At 51.6% G+C, this 17,035-nt stretch overlaps 1 protein-coding gene and 1 long non-coding RNA gene across 15 annotated transcripts in view, besides 4 other annotated features; one reads left to right on the top strand and one right to left on the bottom strand.

The window, feature by feature from the left end:
• SPATA3-AS1 (SPATA3 antisense RNA 1) lies at positions 1-11,665 on the bottom strand. The gene is made up of 6 exons (NR_033879.1): positions 11,481-11,665; positions 10,910-11,018; positions 7,967-8,035; positions 7,402-7,608; positions 2,617-3,812; positions 1-1,743 (listed from the first exon to the last, which is right to left on the bottom strand). It is a non-coding gene; the product is annotated as an SPATA3 antisense RNA 1 (long non-coding RNA).
• Positions 1,114-1,298: a silencer, noted in NCBI's record as "fragment chr2:231850196-231850380 (GRCh37/hg19 assembly coordinates)". NCBI's record gives its function as "represses an EF-1alpha promoter that drives an FKBP-Casp9 reporter gene in an ReSE screen in K562 erythroleukemia cells {active_cell/tissue: K562}" and the evidence as "EXISTENCE:reporter gene assay evidence [ECO:0000049][PMID:32094911]".
• Positions 2,352-2,401: an enhancer, noted in NCBI's record as "active region_17273". NCBI's record gives its function as "activates an Ori minimal core promoter by ATAC-STARR-seq in GM12878 lymphoblastoid cells {active_cell/tissue: GM12878}" and the evidence as "EXISTENCE:reporter gene assay evidence [ECO:0000049][PMID:35858748]".
• Positions 2,803-3,302: an enhancer, noted in NCBI's record as "H3K4me1 hESC enhancer chr2:231851885-231852384 (GRCh37/hg19 assembly coordinates)". NCBI's record gives its function as "activates a minimal SCP1, AML or CMV promoter by ChIP-STARR-seq in naive H9 embryonic stem cells {active_cell/tissue: H9 hESC(naive)}" and the evidence as "EXISTENCE:reporter gene assay evidence [ECO:0000049][PMID:30033119]".
• Positions 11,265-11,798: an enhancer, noted in NCBI's record as "H3K27ac-H3K4me1 hESC enhancer chr2:231860347-231860880 (GRCh37/hg19 assembly coordinates)". NCBI's record gives its function as "activates a minimal SCP1, AML or CMV promoter by ChIP-STARR-seq in primed H9 embryonic stem cells {active_cell/tissue: H9 hESC(primed)}" and the evidence as "EXISTENCE:reporter gene assay evidence [ECO:0000049][PMID:30033119]".
• Positions 11,754-17,035, top strand: part of SPATA3 (spermatogenesis associated 3) — a 23,989-nt gene continuing 18,707 nt past the window's right edge. For all 14 annotated transcript variants that reach the window (XR_007069642.1, XR_007069640.1, XR_001738624.3 and 11 more), the window contains exons 1-2: positions 11,754-12,167; positions 15,999-16,170. Coding sequence is in view for 5 of the 14 variants with exons in the window: in XM_047443398.1 (XP_047299354.1) it covers positions 11,867-12,167; positions 15,999-16,170 (473 nt within the window). In the remaining 9 variants the exon portion in view is untranslated. The remainder of the gene's footprint in view (positions 12,168-15,998; positions 16,171-17,035) is intronic.

The following is a 17,035-nucleotide window of genomic DNA, read 5'->3' on the forward strand; positions in this document are numbered from 1 at the left end:
TGCTCATTCAATGTTGTAAATTACATTTGTAAAGACACTTTTTCCAAATAAGGTCACTTACATTTGTAAAGACGCTTTTTCCAAATAAGGTCAAAGACCCTTTTTCCAAATAAGGTCACATTTCTGGGTCCCAGGAATTATAATGTAGATGTATCTTTTGGGGGGCCACCATTAGACGCACTACAGTATGAGACTTTCACAGACCATGGGGGACAGGAGGCAGCGGTTAAGCTTTGTTTCTTTCTGACTTGGCAATGGCGCCCTGTGGTGACAGCCACTCATACTGGAACTGTGCTGAGAAACCCATCCCTCCCTCCAGCTCTCACTGCCGAAGAAAATAGGCATTCTGAGAAATGCTAGTGGGCCCCAACCCCTTCCTAGCCACGCAAGCGACCCCCTCTTCAGGGCCTATTTCCAAGCCCCCTGCTTTGAGGCCCATGCCGGTCATCCCAGATCCCAGCTGCCTCACTCTCCATTGAGTCCTATGACCTTGAGCCTTGATTTCACTTGTTCAAACCCCTCATAAGCATTTGCTGGCTGTCCAATGTACTTTGGACCCCAGGCTTATGAGAAAACTCATTTGGCAATTAATCCTACTCTCACCTTGGACCGGTTCTGCAAAGTCCCAGATTCTTGTGGGGAGAGTGGGCGTTTCAAAAGCGTAGAGAAGCTAACAAGCCTCTCGTCAAAACCACCCTCAAAGATCACCTATAAACCACCAGAAGCCAGGACCTTGAAGCTCAAAAGCAAAAATCCGCTTGTTACCTAGCCTTGCAGGGAGAGGATCCCTGGCCCTGGGGCAGGTCTACTTTGGAGATGAAGGGAGGGAGGGAGGAGGGAAATGGATTTGTTACAGAGATTTCAATCTTTTCTTCCTTCACCTCCGGATTTTATAAGTGGCTTTCCTGGACTAAGCCACAGTCATGTGTGTGGCAATCTACTGTATGTTATTCTCTTGGATGAGCTGCCTTGAGAACAAGGCTCCTGAGGGCAGAAAGAAGCTGCCCTATCTCCCTGTGAGTGGGTCACAGGGTAACCTGTGCAAGGCTGGGCAGGGCAGGTGCTGGATAAAGTCACTGGGGGAGAGGGGAGGAAGGGGGGGGGGAGGTCCACACCTGTGGGTCTCACGACTCAGGCGACCCCTTAAGGGACTGCTGCCACCAAGAGGAATACTGGGGTGAGCTTTCCCACCTCGCCACCCAGATCCGTTGTCCCCTCTGGGCCACGCGTGTGTCCAAAGCCATGACAGGGACAGACAAAGGCCCACACCATGTGGGCCCACACTTGGTTCCGGGGCTGAGTCCTGTGCCCAGCGCCTGACACAGCTCCACGCCCAGCTGGTGCTCATTCAATGCTGAATGCCTCAGAGAATCTTCAGGCCTGCCATCCTCAGCCAGGGCCTTGAGAGTCCCCTTATTAGTCAGGTTTCCCCAGAGAAACAGAACCAATGGGATGTGGACAGGGAGAGAGAGAGAGGGAGAGACAGAGGAAGAGAGAGAGGTTGATTTTAAGGAACCGGCTCACTGATCGTGGAGGCCAGTAAGCCCACATCTGCAGGGTAGGCCTGGGCGCTGGGGAACCAGGAAGAGCTGATGCTGCAGTTCTAGTCCCAAAGCCTTCTGCTGACAAATCCCCCCTCTCAGGAATGTTTTTCTTTTCCAAGGTGAGGAAGAGGTGGGAGGTGAAGGGTGAGGGTCAATCTTTGTCTTCAGGTCTTCAACAGAGGGAGCAGGACCCGCCCACCTGGTGAGGTAATTTGCTTTACTCAGCACTCATCCACTGATTCAGATGTTACTCTTATCAAAAAATACTTTCCCAGATACATCTAGAATAATGGCTGATCAAATATCTGGGTACCGTGGTCCAGCCAAATTGATGCATAAAATTATCCTCCCACTTCCCCACCCCTGGCCCCTCCAAGGCCCTCCGGGGTTCTCCGGGAGTCTGGCTCTCCATCTCCTCCTCTTTGCCCTCCGGCTTCCAGGCTGTGCGACCCTGAGGCTCTTCCCTGCCCTGTTCTACCCAAAGGGGCCTCAGGGGCTTGAATTCCTCCTTCTTGGACCTTTTTCTCTTTCCAGTCAGTGGATCCCATCACTTTGAGGGCTCCTGGAATGACATTTTCCCCAAGAAGCCTCTCCTGTATAAAACTGGGGGTTGTTGGCTGTGCCCAGAGGATGGGGGTGGCTTCCTTGCCCTCTTCACCCCCCACACCCCTGCCCCCTTCCCCCTGCATCACTGCCGGGCTGGACTGGGGGTGGGGGTTGGGGGAATATAAGCCCTGGATTGGGCGCCCTTATCTTGCTTTAATTTCCTCTAGAGCTCAGCGCCATGTGAGGTTATAGTAGTGGCCGACCTTGTTTACTCTTTCCTACCGGAGTATAAGCTCCAGGGGGCAGGGACTTCATCCCCAGAGCCTAGCCCAGGACCTGCACACGGAGGCACTCAGGGTGTTTGTTGATTGAATGAAAAACGTTCACTGAACACCTCTGTTGTGCCGCACACACTGTGCCAGGGCGTGGACGAAAGCTCAGCTGCCCAGGCCATTGACTATTTCTGAGCATTTCCACTCTCACGTTGTACACCCCTCATTTCTCTCTTCCTGGAGGGGCTCCCTACCTGAGCGCGGGAATCATCTTCCTTCCTCTCTCCTGGAGTCTGCCTGACTTGGTGTCCCAAGACAGGGACTGGGTCCCCTTTGAGCCCCTGGAGGAATGTGAACTGAGCCGATGAGGAGATGCCTCCTGTCTACTTGGAGGAAAGGGACCGGGACACACAGAGGCGCAGGGGGCTGAACCCTCGGTTCCAGCCCCGATAACTCATCCGGAGTCACGCGGTTCCGGGACTTTGCAGAGGAAAGGGGCGCGGGATGTGCTTTGGGAATAGAATTCCACCTTTGCACTCGGCTCTGCACCTGTCCTGCCCCCCGGAGATTCCTTGAGTCCACGTGGATCCGAGAGGAGAAGCTGTTGATCATTTCCTGTCCGCTGAGGCTGTGATCCCCGGGCGACCGGACCGGTAGCCCGGCAGCGCCCTCTGGTGGCCGGTGACGCTCAGCCAGCGCCGGGAATCGCCGCCCAGGCCCCAAGGACCAGAATCAGGAGCAGGATCAGGGCCAGGGCCAGGGCCAGGGCCAGGGCCAGGGCCAGCGCGGGAGGCAGATTTATCCCGGTGCACACCTCTAACTTATCCCTCCTACACAAGGCAGGACTCCGGCTTCTTTCCCTTTTCTGTGTATTTCAAAAGGAATGCACATTGAGCATAAAAAATATATGTAAACAAAAAGAAGCTCCCAGTCAAAGCTGTGATACTGTGTCCTGGCAGGACCAGCCAGGCCTGGGTCTCAATCCCAGACCTGCCATCTACCAGCTGACTGAATCTGAACAAGACGCTTAACTCTCCGAGCCACAGTTTCTGCATCTGCAGCCTGGGAATGGTGTGCTCTCCATTGCTGGGTTGTGTATAGATGACCTATGTACCCAGCACCTAGGACAGCCCCGACTGATGGGGGCAATTCTTATTAGACACAAAGGAGAATCTGTTAAATGTCCTTCAGTTTCTGCTCAGGTGTTCCCAGGGGGTGAGAGATGTTCCCAAAGATATAACTGCCTGCCTGATCGCCCAAGCAGAGACTGTATTTCCCAGATTTTCTGGCAGCCAGAGTTGGTCACAGGGCTAATTCTGGTCCATGGAATGTGGCTGGAAATGATGTGTCCAACTTCCGAGTCACGCCCTGCAAAGGAGGTTGTTTCCCCTCCATTCTGCTTTTCCATCCTCCTGCTGGCTTGGAAGTGGACGGTCCTGGATCAGCTGCCCTGGAGAAAGGAAAGGAAGCCACATATTGAGGATGGCAGAGCCTTCCTGACACCCCAGAACCACTGACATCTGCAGAAATAAATATTCCTAACCCAACGTATCTCTGGATCTCTTTGTTACACCAACTTAGATATAATCGTGGTGTTTCAAGTGCATGCCCAGGAGTCTTGGTATTCATTCTGAACACCAGCTGACAGAGCTTCTGCCTTTAGTGCCACTTCTTACCTTTAGTGTCTCCCCCCACCCCACCATGCACAAAAAAAAGCCCCTGCAAGGGCTGGACCCAGGGAACCCTAGGGATGGCTTAACTCCAGCCTGGTCATCCCCTCCCTGAGGTCACACTGAGGCTGGCAGCCCTGCCATCTGGATCATCCCCTCCCTGAGGTCGCACTGAGACTGGTAGTCCCACCACCTCTCTCTGCTCCTCTCCCCGTTCCATGGCTTCAGTGTGCCAGGGGCTGATTAAAGGTAGTCCAACGTGTCAGACAGTTAGTACAAGGGTTCTTCAATGACTGTCCGACTGCAGGTTGAACTGACAATGAACAAGACAGCACACTAGGGCTCCTTTACCCCAGTCAGGAGGGACAGAGTAGCTCAAATCCATGTTTTGGGAGTCTGGAACCTCTATTCCTTCCTGGTACTCCCCAGTTTAGGATATGTTGATAAAAGCTGGTTTAGAGAAGGCAAAAAGCAAGCCCCAGCCCCAGGTAGGGCCTCCTACCTCCCCTAGTAATCTCAATCTTGAGACTCCCACACTAGGGTAAACCTGTGGAAAGGCCAATTCCTGTATGGTGAAGTTGTCAGGTCTAATTTATCTTGGATGAAAGTCTAGCATCCATCTTTCTTTTTTTTTTTTTTTTTTTTTTTTTTTTTTTTTTTTTTTTTTTTTTTTTAGACCAAGTCTGCCCAGGCTGGAGTGGCAGGCATCTGTAGTCCCAGCTACTTGGGAGGCTGAGGCAGGAGGATCACTTGAACCTGGGGGGTGGAGCTCACAGTGTGCCAAGATCACGCCACTGCACTCCAGCAGACTTGTTTAGTCTGTTTTTGAGACTTAGGCTTGCTCTGTCGCCCAGGCTGTAGTGCTGTGGTGTGATCTTGGCTCACTGCAACCTCTGCCTCTCCAGGTCAAGCAATTCTCCTGCCTCCGCCTCGGGAATGGCTAGGACTACAGGCACACCACCAGGCTCGAGTAATTTTTGTATTTTTAGTAGAGATGGGGGTCTCACTATATTGCTTAAGACTGGTCTTGAACTCCTGGCCTCAAGCAATCCTCCCACCTCTGCTTCCCAAATTGCTGGGCTTATAGGCATGAGCCACCGCGCCCGAGGATCCTGGAGTTTTTAGCGGGATTCTAGCTCAGAGTTTTCTGTTTGACACCCTGCTTTTCAGAGTTTTTTATGTTTATATTTTTAAAAATAATTTAGCATAACTTGGTAAAGCTCATTTTAAGAAAAATAACAAAGGGAACAACTTTCCCCACCGTTGGGTTTCCAGTCTCTGTGACCGTCCTTGTTCCCTCCGTACTGCCTCATCATGACACTCTGCTCACCCCGCGTGCTGGGCAGCAAACGAGTTCTATGCTTTCTGTCTTGTTTTCCTGAGGACCTTTCCTGGCGTTTTGACAGGCCGCTGGTACCCACAGAAGCCTGGAACTGAGGGGGCCCAAAATCATCTCGGGCAACACCACCCGTTTATATCGTAATAGCGCAAGACTCCGGCGCCCGAATCACCCAGAGAGCCGACTGGCCGAGCCGGGGCCCAGCCACCCAGGCCGCCACTCTTCGCTGATTCTCAAGAGTTGCGGGTGCAATGAGATCTGGTCCACTGCTTTTTAAATGCCCCGGGTGCATAAAAATTCGCCTTACTTAGAGCCTTGGGGACGAAGATTTATCCATGGTATAAAAGGATGCACCTTTTGAAACCACAAAAGTAGAAAATGGAGAAACTGAACACAGTCGGCGTTATACCAGCGTCCAACAGCAACTTCCTATATATTAGATTTCCAAGGAATAGCGGGGCGGAGGTGCTTGGCCACGACAGGAAAAGGTAGGGCTCAGGGGTATTGTGACATGCTCCGGAGAAGGGCAGCTTTTCCCTCCCAACGGAAGCCCGAGCCCAGAGGGGCGAGGGTGTCGGGCCGGACATGGAGCAGCGGCCTGGGGCCCAGCCCTGCAGGGCACCCCAGGAGAGGAAGGCGGAGGCGCAGCCACAGGCCCCGGCCCAGTCTGTCGAGGGCCACGGCCAGGTGCTGCTGATCAGCGGGCTCTGGAAGCAGGATGAGGACGGCCTGAGCCTGCAGAGCTTTCCAGGAGACACTGCAGCCGATCAGCTCCCCAGGCCCTCGTCCGCCCGAGCCATGAGCGGCCACACCAGCGCCAGCAACTGCACCGCACGGCGGTCCAAGCGCTGGGGCGACAGCTCCATGAACTGCGACGACTGCCCGGCCACGAAGTCCAAGCGCTTCACCAAGAAGTCGCGGCGCTCGGAGCCCAAGGCCGAGGACCCGCGCGAGGCGCCAGGGGCTCCTCCTGGGACCCCCACCTCCGCGGCAGAGGACACAGCGTCTGCACGCGGGGCACCGCAGCACCCGCCTGAGCGGGGCGCGCAGCTGCTCCTGGTGTTGTGCCGCGCGTCTGCGCTCCTCACGCAGCTGCTGCGGCTGCAGCTGCTCCTGCAACAGCAGCACGCCCGGGACCGACGTCCGCCCGCCGCGCTCGTGGGGATCGTGGTGCAGCCGCAGCAGGAGGAGGAGGCCGAGGCGCGCCGCCGCATGGAGGCCCTGCTCAGCCGAGTCCTCGCGCCGCACAGCCCAGCCGTGGAGGTGCACACGGCCGTGTTCTGCCCCGGCCGCCCCGAGGGCACCCTGGACTTCCAAGCGCGCCGCCAGCAAGTGCACAGGGTCTCCCTGATGGATCGGGAGACGCAGACCGATGGTGAGGGGTCGGCGCGGGGAGGGGGGAGCCCCGGGGCGGAGAACGCTCAAACACGCAGCCCTGGACCCCGACCCTGCCGCCCCGCGGGGTAGAGGACAAAGCCCCGGAGTCACGGCCTCTCTCCTGGCGCCTCCAGGAGTTTTGGGTACTGTTTTGGGTGGTAAGGAACTAGAGTTCCTCCCGGTGTGCTCACTGGGGCAATCTCAGCGTCAGAGGTGTTCGAATTAATTCGGAGGGCTACGACCCCCACTCACTGGCCCCACATGCAACTTGGGGCATCGGTTCCCATGACTTGGGGTCACGCTTTTGTAAGGTATTGATTTGGGACTTTGTAGAAACGGGGCCCCACTCCCTCCTCTCCACATCCTCCTCTCCCTTGCTTGCTTCTTTAGTCTTCTCCAGGGAAGAATAATAACACTAAAAGCACGCCTTTTGTGAGTCAGGCGCTGTTCTAAGGGCTTTTCACCTGGATCCTCATGGCAACCCTCTCAGGTGGAACTCCGCTAGACTAGCTGGCCGACTTCAGGATTCTCCTTCGCAACTCTTGAGACCCTTTCTGTTATGGAGACCAGGCCTGTGGCCCACGGGATTAATTTGTCAGTCTAAGGTCCCTGGGCAGTGAGATCTTGAGGGAGCGCCAAGTCCCGCAACCTACCTGCCAGCTCCACCCTGCCAGGGGCAGCAGGAGGGACTGAGGAAGTGCTCTGTGTGGCAGAGTCCAAAGGTCAGGTACCCAAGGTCTGCCACTCTCCAGCTGGTGACCAGAGCAGGCATCCTCTCTATGGACCAGTGTCCCTCCTGTGTGACGTGAAGGTGAAGGGCTGGTTGATGTCCAGGGTGCCATCCAGCTCAGAGAAGTCAGCTTCAGGACAAATGGTGACACACTTATTCTAGGTGCCCAGGAAACCAGAACCATCAGAGACCTTCTGGGAGGAAATTTTCACCCCATCAAGACCTTATTCTGACTATCTAATTTCCAATTCCCTTCCCCTACCTAGTCTACTGCATTTTCACATGACTGGCATCCCTAGTTAGGAAACTCCCTTGCCCATGGACTAGTCCAGCTGTGATCCTCAGCCAAGGCCAGAGAAGTCCCAGTCCATTTTTGAAAACACCCCCTTGGTGATGAAGCCTTGGAGGTGCCTGATCCCACATGCCCACCTGCCCCCATCACAGCTTCCTGCTGTCGCAGCTTCCTGCTTTCTCTGTCCTAACTTTACCTTTATTCAGTTCCAGCAGCTTGCATTAAGCCCCTACTCTGGACTGTGGCCTTCTGAGGTTTCCACCATCTGGGGTTGGGGAATGAGAGGGAAGGCAGAGACAGAAATAATTCTAATGCCGTTCAGAATATGACCAGTCTCATACAAAGAGGTGCCCCGGAGCTCAGCAGCAAGGGAAGGATGGCTTCCAGTTGGAGATCTCAAGAAAGGCTTTTTTTTTTTTTTTTTTTTTTTGAGATGGAGTCTCGCTCTGTGGCCCAGGCTTGGAGTGCAGTGGCGCGATCTCCGCTCACTGCAACCTCCACTTCCCGGGTTTCAAGCAATTCTCCTGCCTTAGCCTCCTGAGTAGCTGGGACCACAGGCGTGTGCCACCATGCCCAGCTGATTTTTTTATATTTTTAGTAGAGACAGGATTTTGCCATGTTGGCCAGGCTGGTCTCAAACTCCTGACCTCAGGTGATCCGCCCGCCTCAGCCTCTCAAAGTGCTGGGATTACAGGCATGAGCCACTGTGCCCAGCTTAGAAAGGCTTTATGAAGAGATTTATCCACTTGAGATAGGGCTTGACCAGAAAATGCTTTGGTAGAGGTGCAGAGAGGGATGATAGAGGAGAAGGGCTTCTGAAAATGCAGGAATGTTCAGCCTGTTCATGAGATCTCTGATGTTCACGGTTAGCTAGAGCTGGACACAGGTAGTAGTAGTGGCTGATAAGCACTGGGCAGTGGGCTGTGGCTGTATTATGGAAGAGCCAGGCTTCCTGTATAGGAACAGGTGCTCAAACAGAAAGCAGTGGGGCCAGGCGCAGTGGCTCATGCCTGTAATCCCAACACTTACGGAGGCCAAGGCAGGCAGATCACTTGAGGTCAGGAGTTCGAGACCAGCCTGGCCAACAGAGTGAAACCCTGTCTCCACTAAAACTATAAAAATTAGTCAGGCATGGCGGCGCATGTCTGTAATCTACTCAGGAGCCTGGAGCATGCCTGTAAGCTACTCGGGAGGCTGAGGCAGGAGAATCAGTTGAACCCGGGAGGTGGAGGTTGCAGTGAGCCAAAATTGGGCCACTGCACTCCTGGAGACAGAGTGAGACTCTGAAAACAAAAACAAAAAGAAGAAGAAGAAGAAGGTGGGGGCTGCAGGGAAGACGTTCTAGCAAGGAGCTATTGAGGGACCATTCTTCCTCATTCTTCTGGGACAACCTCTTTCCACAGGTGCCCTCTCTCTGCTTCTTGGGACCACTCTTACTAAAGAATTCACACATATTTTTGCTGCTGCCACAGAGAAATTCCCCACTCCTCCCTCGGCCTGCCCTCTGTGCTTCCTCCATCTTTCTACAGGAAGACAGAGACTCATTCTCTGTGCCCTGTTTGGCTCCTTCTGGTAAAATGGAATATTTCTTTCATTGCTACCAGGAAGTTCTACCTATATGTGTCTGCTCCTATCTGATTCATTTACACCAACATGGCACAATCAGGGGCAATGTGGACACACACACTCCTACCCCATCTCTAGGGGACATTTAGCAATATCTGGAGACATTTTGGGTTGTCCTGGGGTAGGGGGGAGTAAAGACTGGGTAAAGACCAGGGATCTGGTAAACTTCCTACAATACACAGGATGACCCGCCACAACAAAGAATTACTCAGCCCAAAAATGTCAACAGGGCTGAGGTTGAAAAACACTGATTTAAACCAGGTTGAGGCCCTCGGCCGAAGCCCATTGGTACCTGAAAATCCAACTTTGCAGAGATTAATGCCTTAGGAGTTCCTGAGCTGTCTGCTAGATCTCAACAGGGTTCCCGGCCTCGGTTTCCAGTCTCTCTGATTCTAAATGGAGTCCCCTCAAGGGTTCCATTGCTCTTGGCTTCAGGAAATTACCAGCTTCATACAGATTCACTTGCTCCCAGAGCCTCCTTAGGCCAAGGTCAACCAAACACAACCCAATACTCTTGAGCTGAGCTTGCCTTCACTTCTGATCCTTCCTGCCTTTGTTTTCTTCAATCTTCTCGCTCAGGGACCTTTTTTTTTTTTTTGAGACGAGTCTCACTCTGTCGTCAGGCTGGAGTGCAGTGGCACAATCTCGGCTCACCACAACCTCCGCCTCACAGGTTCAAGTGATTCTCCTGCCTCAGCCTCCTGAGTACCTGGGACTACAGGCGTGCACCACCATGCCCAGCTAATTTTTGTATTTTTAGTAGAGACAGGTTTTCACCATGTTGGTTGGCCAGGATGGTCTCAATCTCTTGACCTCATGATCTGCCCGCCTCAGCCTCCCAAAGTGCTGGGATTATAGGCGTGAGCCACCGCACCAGGCCACTGGGGGACTTTTTAATTCATTATTTCAAAGCCTGTATAATTATCTGACTCCCTATTGTTTTCTGGGATCATGAAAATAATGAGCCCCAAACTGGAATTTAGTCCTTCCGATGCCCCCAGCCAGCTGTGTGACCCTGGGAAAGTAACTTAATTTCGCTAAACCTCAGTGTTCTGAGGAAAGGTCATCATTAAGGTATTTTTAGGCTCTAGAAGCCCTAAACTATGTCCTGTCATTTCAGAGTTCATGTTGGGTCTGGCTTTGTGTGGCCCAAAGCCCCCCATTTTTTTTTAAGACAGAGTCTCGCTCTGTCGCCCAGGCTGGAGTGCAGTGGCACGATCTCGGCTCACTGAAAGCTCCACCTCCAAGGTTCACGCCATTCTCCTGCCGAGTAGCTGGGACTACAGGCACCCACCACCACGCCCGGCTAATTTTTTGTATTTTTAGTAGAGACGGGGTTTCACCATGTCAGCCAGGATGGTCTCAATCTCCTGACCTCGTGATCTGCCCGCCTCAGCCTCCCAAAGTGCTGGGATTACAGGCGTGACCGAAGCCCTTTTTATCTGCATAGGTCTGCTCTAAACCTTCCGCTGGGGCAGGAGCTCCTGCGCTTGCCAGTCCCACACTCACCCACCTGTGACACACTGGCGATGAAAGCAGTCTCCTCAGGTGAACACATTTTATGTTGCAGTCACAGTATGAGCTTCAGATTGTCTTTTAAAAATACTTTTCCTTCTTCCATCCTAAAACAAAAATCACATTTAATGAGCACATTAAATTAATTAATCTAGAGAAAGATTCAGTCACCTGTTTAACCCAACCAATTGGGGTTTGGGAGATAGTCTGTGGTTGCCATTGCCATGAGTTTGAGACAAATGTTAGTTTTCTGAACAGCTGTTATGTTCTCAGGGAAAATTATCTGCCAAATGCAAAGGTTCTTATAAAAGTCAAGTCAACCCCCAAACTCCCCTCCCACAGTGCGGGAGGGCAGGCTTTGGGGGAAGGGGTAAGCTACTCTGAGATGGTAGCAGGCTCTGGGCCATGGTAAAGCCTTCGAAGAAGCTCCAAATCTTCAGGAAGCTGACCTGAAGATGAATGCGTGGGGAACATGGATTTTTGAGGTGTAGGAGTAGGGGGTATGTGGAAGCCAGTGACAGAGCTGAGCGTCACATCCAGGGTATCTTAGAGCAAAACAGGTAGCTCACATGGACCCAGGAACACGCCAGCAGAGAGGTGTCTGAAGGCAGCGCTCAGGTCGCAGAAGCATGAGGATCTGGCTGTCACCAGCCCCGTAGCCAGGGCTGTGAGGACCAGGGCAGCCGCTGTCCCCTGCCTAGCCTGGCAGCCTGGGATGAAGGAGGACACCAGGCTGGTGTCTGCAGAGAAGACTGTCCCTTGAAGCCCTGCCATAGGAGCCACCCTGGCTTTTATGACCTCACAGGAGGTGTGGGTCACTGTTCTCTGTGGGGCCTGGGTCCAGCTGGAGGCCCAAGCCAGGCTCCTAGGGCAGAGGGCAAACGGCCCCTCCAGGAGGGAGCCGGGAGATTACGCAGCTCCATGTAGGTCCACGTTTAGGTTGGGAGGATCTACCATGAAGAAGGTCAAGAAGAAAAGGTCAGAGGCCAGACGCCACCGAGACTCCACCTCCCAGCATGCTAGCTCCAATTCCACCTCTCAGCAGCCTAGCCCTGAATCCACACCACAGCAGCCTAGTCCTGAATCCACACCACAGCAGCCTAGCCCTGAATCCACACCACAGCATTCCAGCCTTGAAACCACCTCCCGGCAGCCAGCATTCCAAGCCCTTCCAGCACCCGAAATCCGCCGCTCCTCTTGCTGCCTTTTATCTCCAGATGCTAACGTGAAGGCAGCCCCTCAATCCAGGAAAGCAGGTGGGCTGTCTTCTAGCTTCAGCAGTTCCAGCCTTCCTGCTGATGGAGTTCTGGGTCATCCCAAAGGCTGGTTCTTGTAGGATAGTGATGCATGGTTAACGTGTATCCTGGAGCTGTGCTGTAGAGTGGGAAGGTTTTTGTTTTTGTTTCTACCCAAGAGACCAGGATTCCTGGGTTTTGTCATTTCTCATCATCCTGAGTCTCACTGAAGACAGCCACACATACATATAAACATTTAACTTGGTTCCATAGTAATACTTGCTCACTAGGAATCAGCAGTGCCATGCAACTGCTAAAAAATAAAAACCAAGGATGCATTTATAGAAGTATATGGTTTAGAATAAGGGAGGTGATGATACTGCTTTATTCTGTCCTCATCAAGCTATCCTTTTGGGCTGTAAAAGATGCCTGACAAACTAGTCCAAGGAAGATAGTCTGGGTTGATGGAGGATGAGAAGGATCAGGGAGACCATTTAGTGTATGACAGTCAATTGAAGGAATTGGAGGATGTCTGTCTGTCAAGTGGAAGATGTGAATAGACTTGTTCCTTATTGTCCTCAGAGATCTAAGGGTCTGATGTGGTTTGGCTGTGTCCCCACCCAAATCTCTTCTTGAATTCCCAGGTGTTGTAGGAAGGACCCAGTGGGAAGTGATTGAATCACGGGGGAGGGTCTTTTCCGTGGTGTTCTCGTGATAGTGAATAAGTTTCATGAGATCTAATGGTTTTAAAAAAGGGAGTTTCCCTGCACAAACTCTCTTCTCTTGTCTGCCGCCATGTGAGATGTGCCTTTCACCTTCCACCATGATTGTGAGGCCTCCCCAGCCACGTGGAACTGTAAGTTCCACAAACCTCTTTCTTTTGTAAATTGCCTAGTCTCAGATATGTCTTTATCAGCAGTGTGAAAACAGACAAATACAGGCCCATGGATAGGATAGCCAGACAAAATACAAGACTCTCAGTTAAATTTTAATTTTAGTAAACAACAAATAATATTTTTAGTATGTGTGTCCCCAGTATTGCATGGGCATCCTATATTTTTATTTGCTAAATTAGCAATCTTACCCATGGAAGACATTAGTGACAGAAAGCCTTCGGCTCAACATAAAAAACTTCCCAACAATTAGCTCTGTCTGAAAATGGAATGGCTGTCAGGAAAAGTGGTTCCCTGTCTTCTTGGGAGCCAAACAGTGTCTGTATAAGCATTGGATTGTGTAGAGGGAATTCAAGTGGAGTTCAGGAGGTGGGCTGGTTTATACTACTAACAATAATGGTGATAGCAAACTAACATTATCACTAAGCATTTACTGTGTACCTAGCATTCAGATCAGGTGTCTTAATTTTCACACGTGATAATCCTATAAAAGTTCTTCCATATTATCTCCATTTTATAGATGGGGAAACTGAGGCTCATAGGAGTCAAACAGGTTGCTCCTGAGCAGACGCTGGTAGCCCTGAGAAGGGAAACCCACTCTATTCTGACTCCAGAACCCTCACTTTAAACCACAGCACTGACCTTTCCATTCCAAGAGGCCTAGGAGTCTCCACAAGAGGAAGAACATCTCTGTCCGAGCATCTCCTGGATCTGCCATGAGCCAGTGCCCACGACTCCATAGCCTTGAACAGGCCACACTCCCTGGGCCACAGTTTACCCCCCGGGATTGTGTGGGCATAAAATAAATAAGTGATGGAGATGAGAGTGCTAAATATAAGGCATGCCATGCCAATGATCCTTCCATGGCCAGGAATCAAACCTTTCTTGACATATGATATTGATTTTGAGCACCATACTATATGTTGTAAAGATTGTGATCATCAGCCAGTGAGAGAAACATTTCTGGGTTATGATCTTCAGAACTGGCATCTTCAGTACTGGTAGAAAGCAAGACTTTCCATTCCCAAGTCTTTTAATGAACACATGTGACTCATACTCAGAGAAGAATTTGGCCCATTGAACAGGCAAAGCAAGAAAGCAAGAAATGGTGGTGGCTCGCCAGTGGTTACAGCAGACACCCTATACTTCTTCCAAAGGAATTCTCTGCGTAGAAAGGAATGTTGGAGATGAAGGATGAGGGCCTGCAAGTAAAGCGTGCCATTTTCTAAAATCCAAGCCTTTTTGTGTGCAGAAATATTGTAGCTCAAGAAAATGCCAGTCTTCCACTAGGATGGGTATAATCAGAAGGATGGACAATAACAAGTGTTGGTGAGGATGTAGAGAAGCTGGAATCCTCATACACTGTAGGCGGGAATGTAAAATGGTGCAGCTGCTGTGGAAACAGTCTGGTGGTTCCTCAGAGGAACATGAAGTTACCTTATGACCCAGCAATTCCACTTCTCAGTATACATCCAAGAGAATTCGAAGCATCTTATTAAGCATATTAGAAGCACACCAAAACTTGTACACAAATGCTCAAAGCAGCAGCATTTGTAATAGCCAAAAAGTGGGAACAACCCAAATGTCCATCAGCTGATGAATGGATAAACAAAATGTGGTATGAAATACCACAGTACAATGAGTATGGTGAAATACTATTTGGCAATAAAAAGAGATAGTGTCCTGATACATGGTACAGCCTGGATGAACCTTATAGACACTTGGCTAAGTGAAAGAATCCAGTCTCCCAGAAACCCACACATCGAATGATTCTATTTACATGAAATGTTCAGAATAGGCAAATGTATTGCCAGGGACTGGGGGAAATGGGAGAGTGGGGAGTAACTGCTCATGGAGATGGGGTTTCTTTTTGGGGAAATGAAGACGTTCTGAAATTAGTGGTGATGGCCACAAAACTTTGTGAATATACTAAAAACCACTGAGCACTCTAAAAGGGTGAATTTTATTGCCTGGGAATGATATCTCAATTTAAAAACTTTTTTGTAATTAAAAAAAAAGACAAGTCTTGCCTTTAGAATCCCCTCTCCTCATTCCGGGAAAGTACGTGTCGTGGGCAAGTCTAAGCAGAAAGTGTATTGAATCTGCCAGGTTGACCACCTGTTTCATGCAGCTTAGGGTCAGAAGAATCTGTAGCTCTGTCAAGAAGACGCAGGGCTACAGATAGGAAACAGGAGGGAATAATCCAGCCAGAAATTATCTTGCCCAACCACAGAGGGCATCATCTACATTCTGCTGGGATCCATACCAGAGGAGGACAGAAACAGAAAATAGGATCGGGACTGGAAACTAGAGCTGTGGTTGTCTTCTGGATGGATCAGAATGCTCTAGATCAATGGAACGTGGCAGCTCCAATTCCAGGAATGTCAGTGCAGCCTCTCCTGAGGTGAGCAGTCACCTGAAATTCCATTTTCACTGAATTAAACGTGAGAAAGCCTGAGTTGAGAAAGCCAACTTCTGTAATCTACTCCCCAAAAGGGCATATCCCTTAAATTAGCTGAGCCTCAGTTTCCTTATTTGTAAAACAAGACCAGCAGTATCCCCTTTACAGGATTACTGTGAAATTAAATGAGATGAGCATGCTAAGTGCAAAGCATCCTGAAGGTGTAAGCCATGGCACCATCAGCACCACCTCCATCATCATCATCGTTGTTGTCGTCGCTGTTGCTACTCCCAGGTAGCACCAGTATAAAACAGCCATTTTCCCATGCGGTCAGTCTTCTCTTCTGTTTGGTTAGAGAACATTTTGTGGGAGAACTGCCTTCCTTAGGTAGTTCAGTCCCAAATCCTCAATGATGCCTTGGAAAAAATCCAGCGTTCGCCCTGGTAATCCTGCAGCTGCTGCCGTTGTGGGGGGCCTTCTCAGACTGTGTTCCAGACTCCCCCGCCCCAGCCTCCCAGGGCAGGTGCCTCCCTCACCTCTCTCCTTCTGTCCCCACAGGGCCTCTGATTCGCGCCGGCCCGCATTCCTGCTCCTGTGCCACTTGCCCCTGCAGCTCCGCTTGCTGGCGTCGTCTGGGGCTATGCCATAGCCGCATCTTCGATGTCCTTCTGCCTCGGGACTGGCAGATGGCGCCAGGGAGAGGACTCCCCAACCTGCTCACCTTCTACAGGTTCCAAGCGCGAGGGGCTGGAGCCTCGGGGCACACAGTCCCCAGGGCCAGGCTCTGCCCCCAGACCTTATTAGCAATCATGTATCACTTCCTCTTGGGAATCCCAGGCCGAAGGAAAGCCTTTCTTTCCCTCTTTGCTTTGCCCACTTCCTGGACGTTGGCAGGCAGGGCCCTTTCTGACCGGCCCCACCCCCGGGGTACCCACCCCGCCTGTACAGAGAGGTGCCAGTTTTCTTCCTCACTGGGATTCCTCCTCAGGGGCTTCCTTTTTCTTTTCTCCAGAGATGCCCTCCCCTCCTCAGAACACTCTCCCCCTCAGCCCTTCACAGAGTCGCTCAGGAGCTTTGTGTTTAAACACTGTTTGGCCATGCACCTCCGTGGGCCCTCAGTGGCCTGTGTCATAGGCAGGGGCCTTAGGTTCCTGATCTGCCTACGAATGTCGCCCAGAATTTAATGATAAAAAACTACTTGTAACTCATATGCCTCCTCCACACAATAGCAAGACGTCAGCCCCCTTCAGACTGTGCTGGGCTCTTTCTGGGGGTCTCCACAGGGAACATCTGCCCCCAGGCTGGTCTGTTGGTGGCGGCCCCCATGACATCACCCATAGTATCTGTCCTTCCTTCCTCTTCCCAAAAAGCCACCAGGAGCAGTGTCATGGCTGCCACCGCCCTCATAGGAAGACCCCATCCATGCAGGGAACAGACTGGAGATGTTCCCACGTTTGGGCGCTGCTAGGTTACATGCATGGGCTGGGAGAGGGGTCGCCATCTGCCCCACCTGAGGGCCTCACAGATCTCAATGGAAGAGGCCCTTCCACTTGGCGACCTCACACCCCCACCCCAGGAACTGAGGCCCCCCAACC

This window comes from Homo sapiens, chromosome 2 (assembly GCF_000001405.40).
Source record: "Homo sapiens chromosome 2, GRCh38.p14 Primary Assembly".
Taxonomy (NCBI): domain Eukaryota; kingdom Metazoa; phylum Chordata; class Mammalia; order Primates; family Hominidae; genus Homo; species Homo sapiens.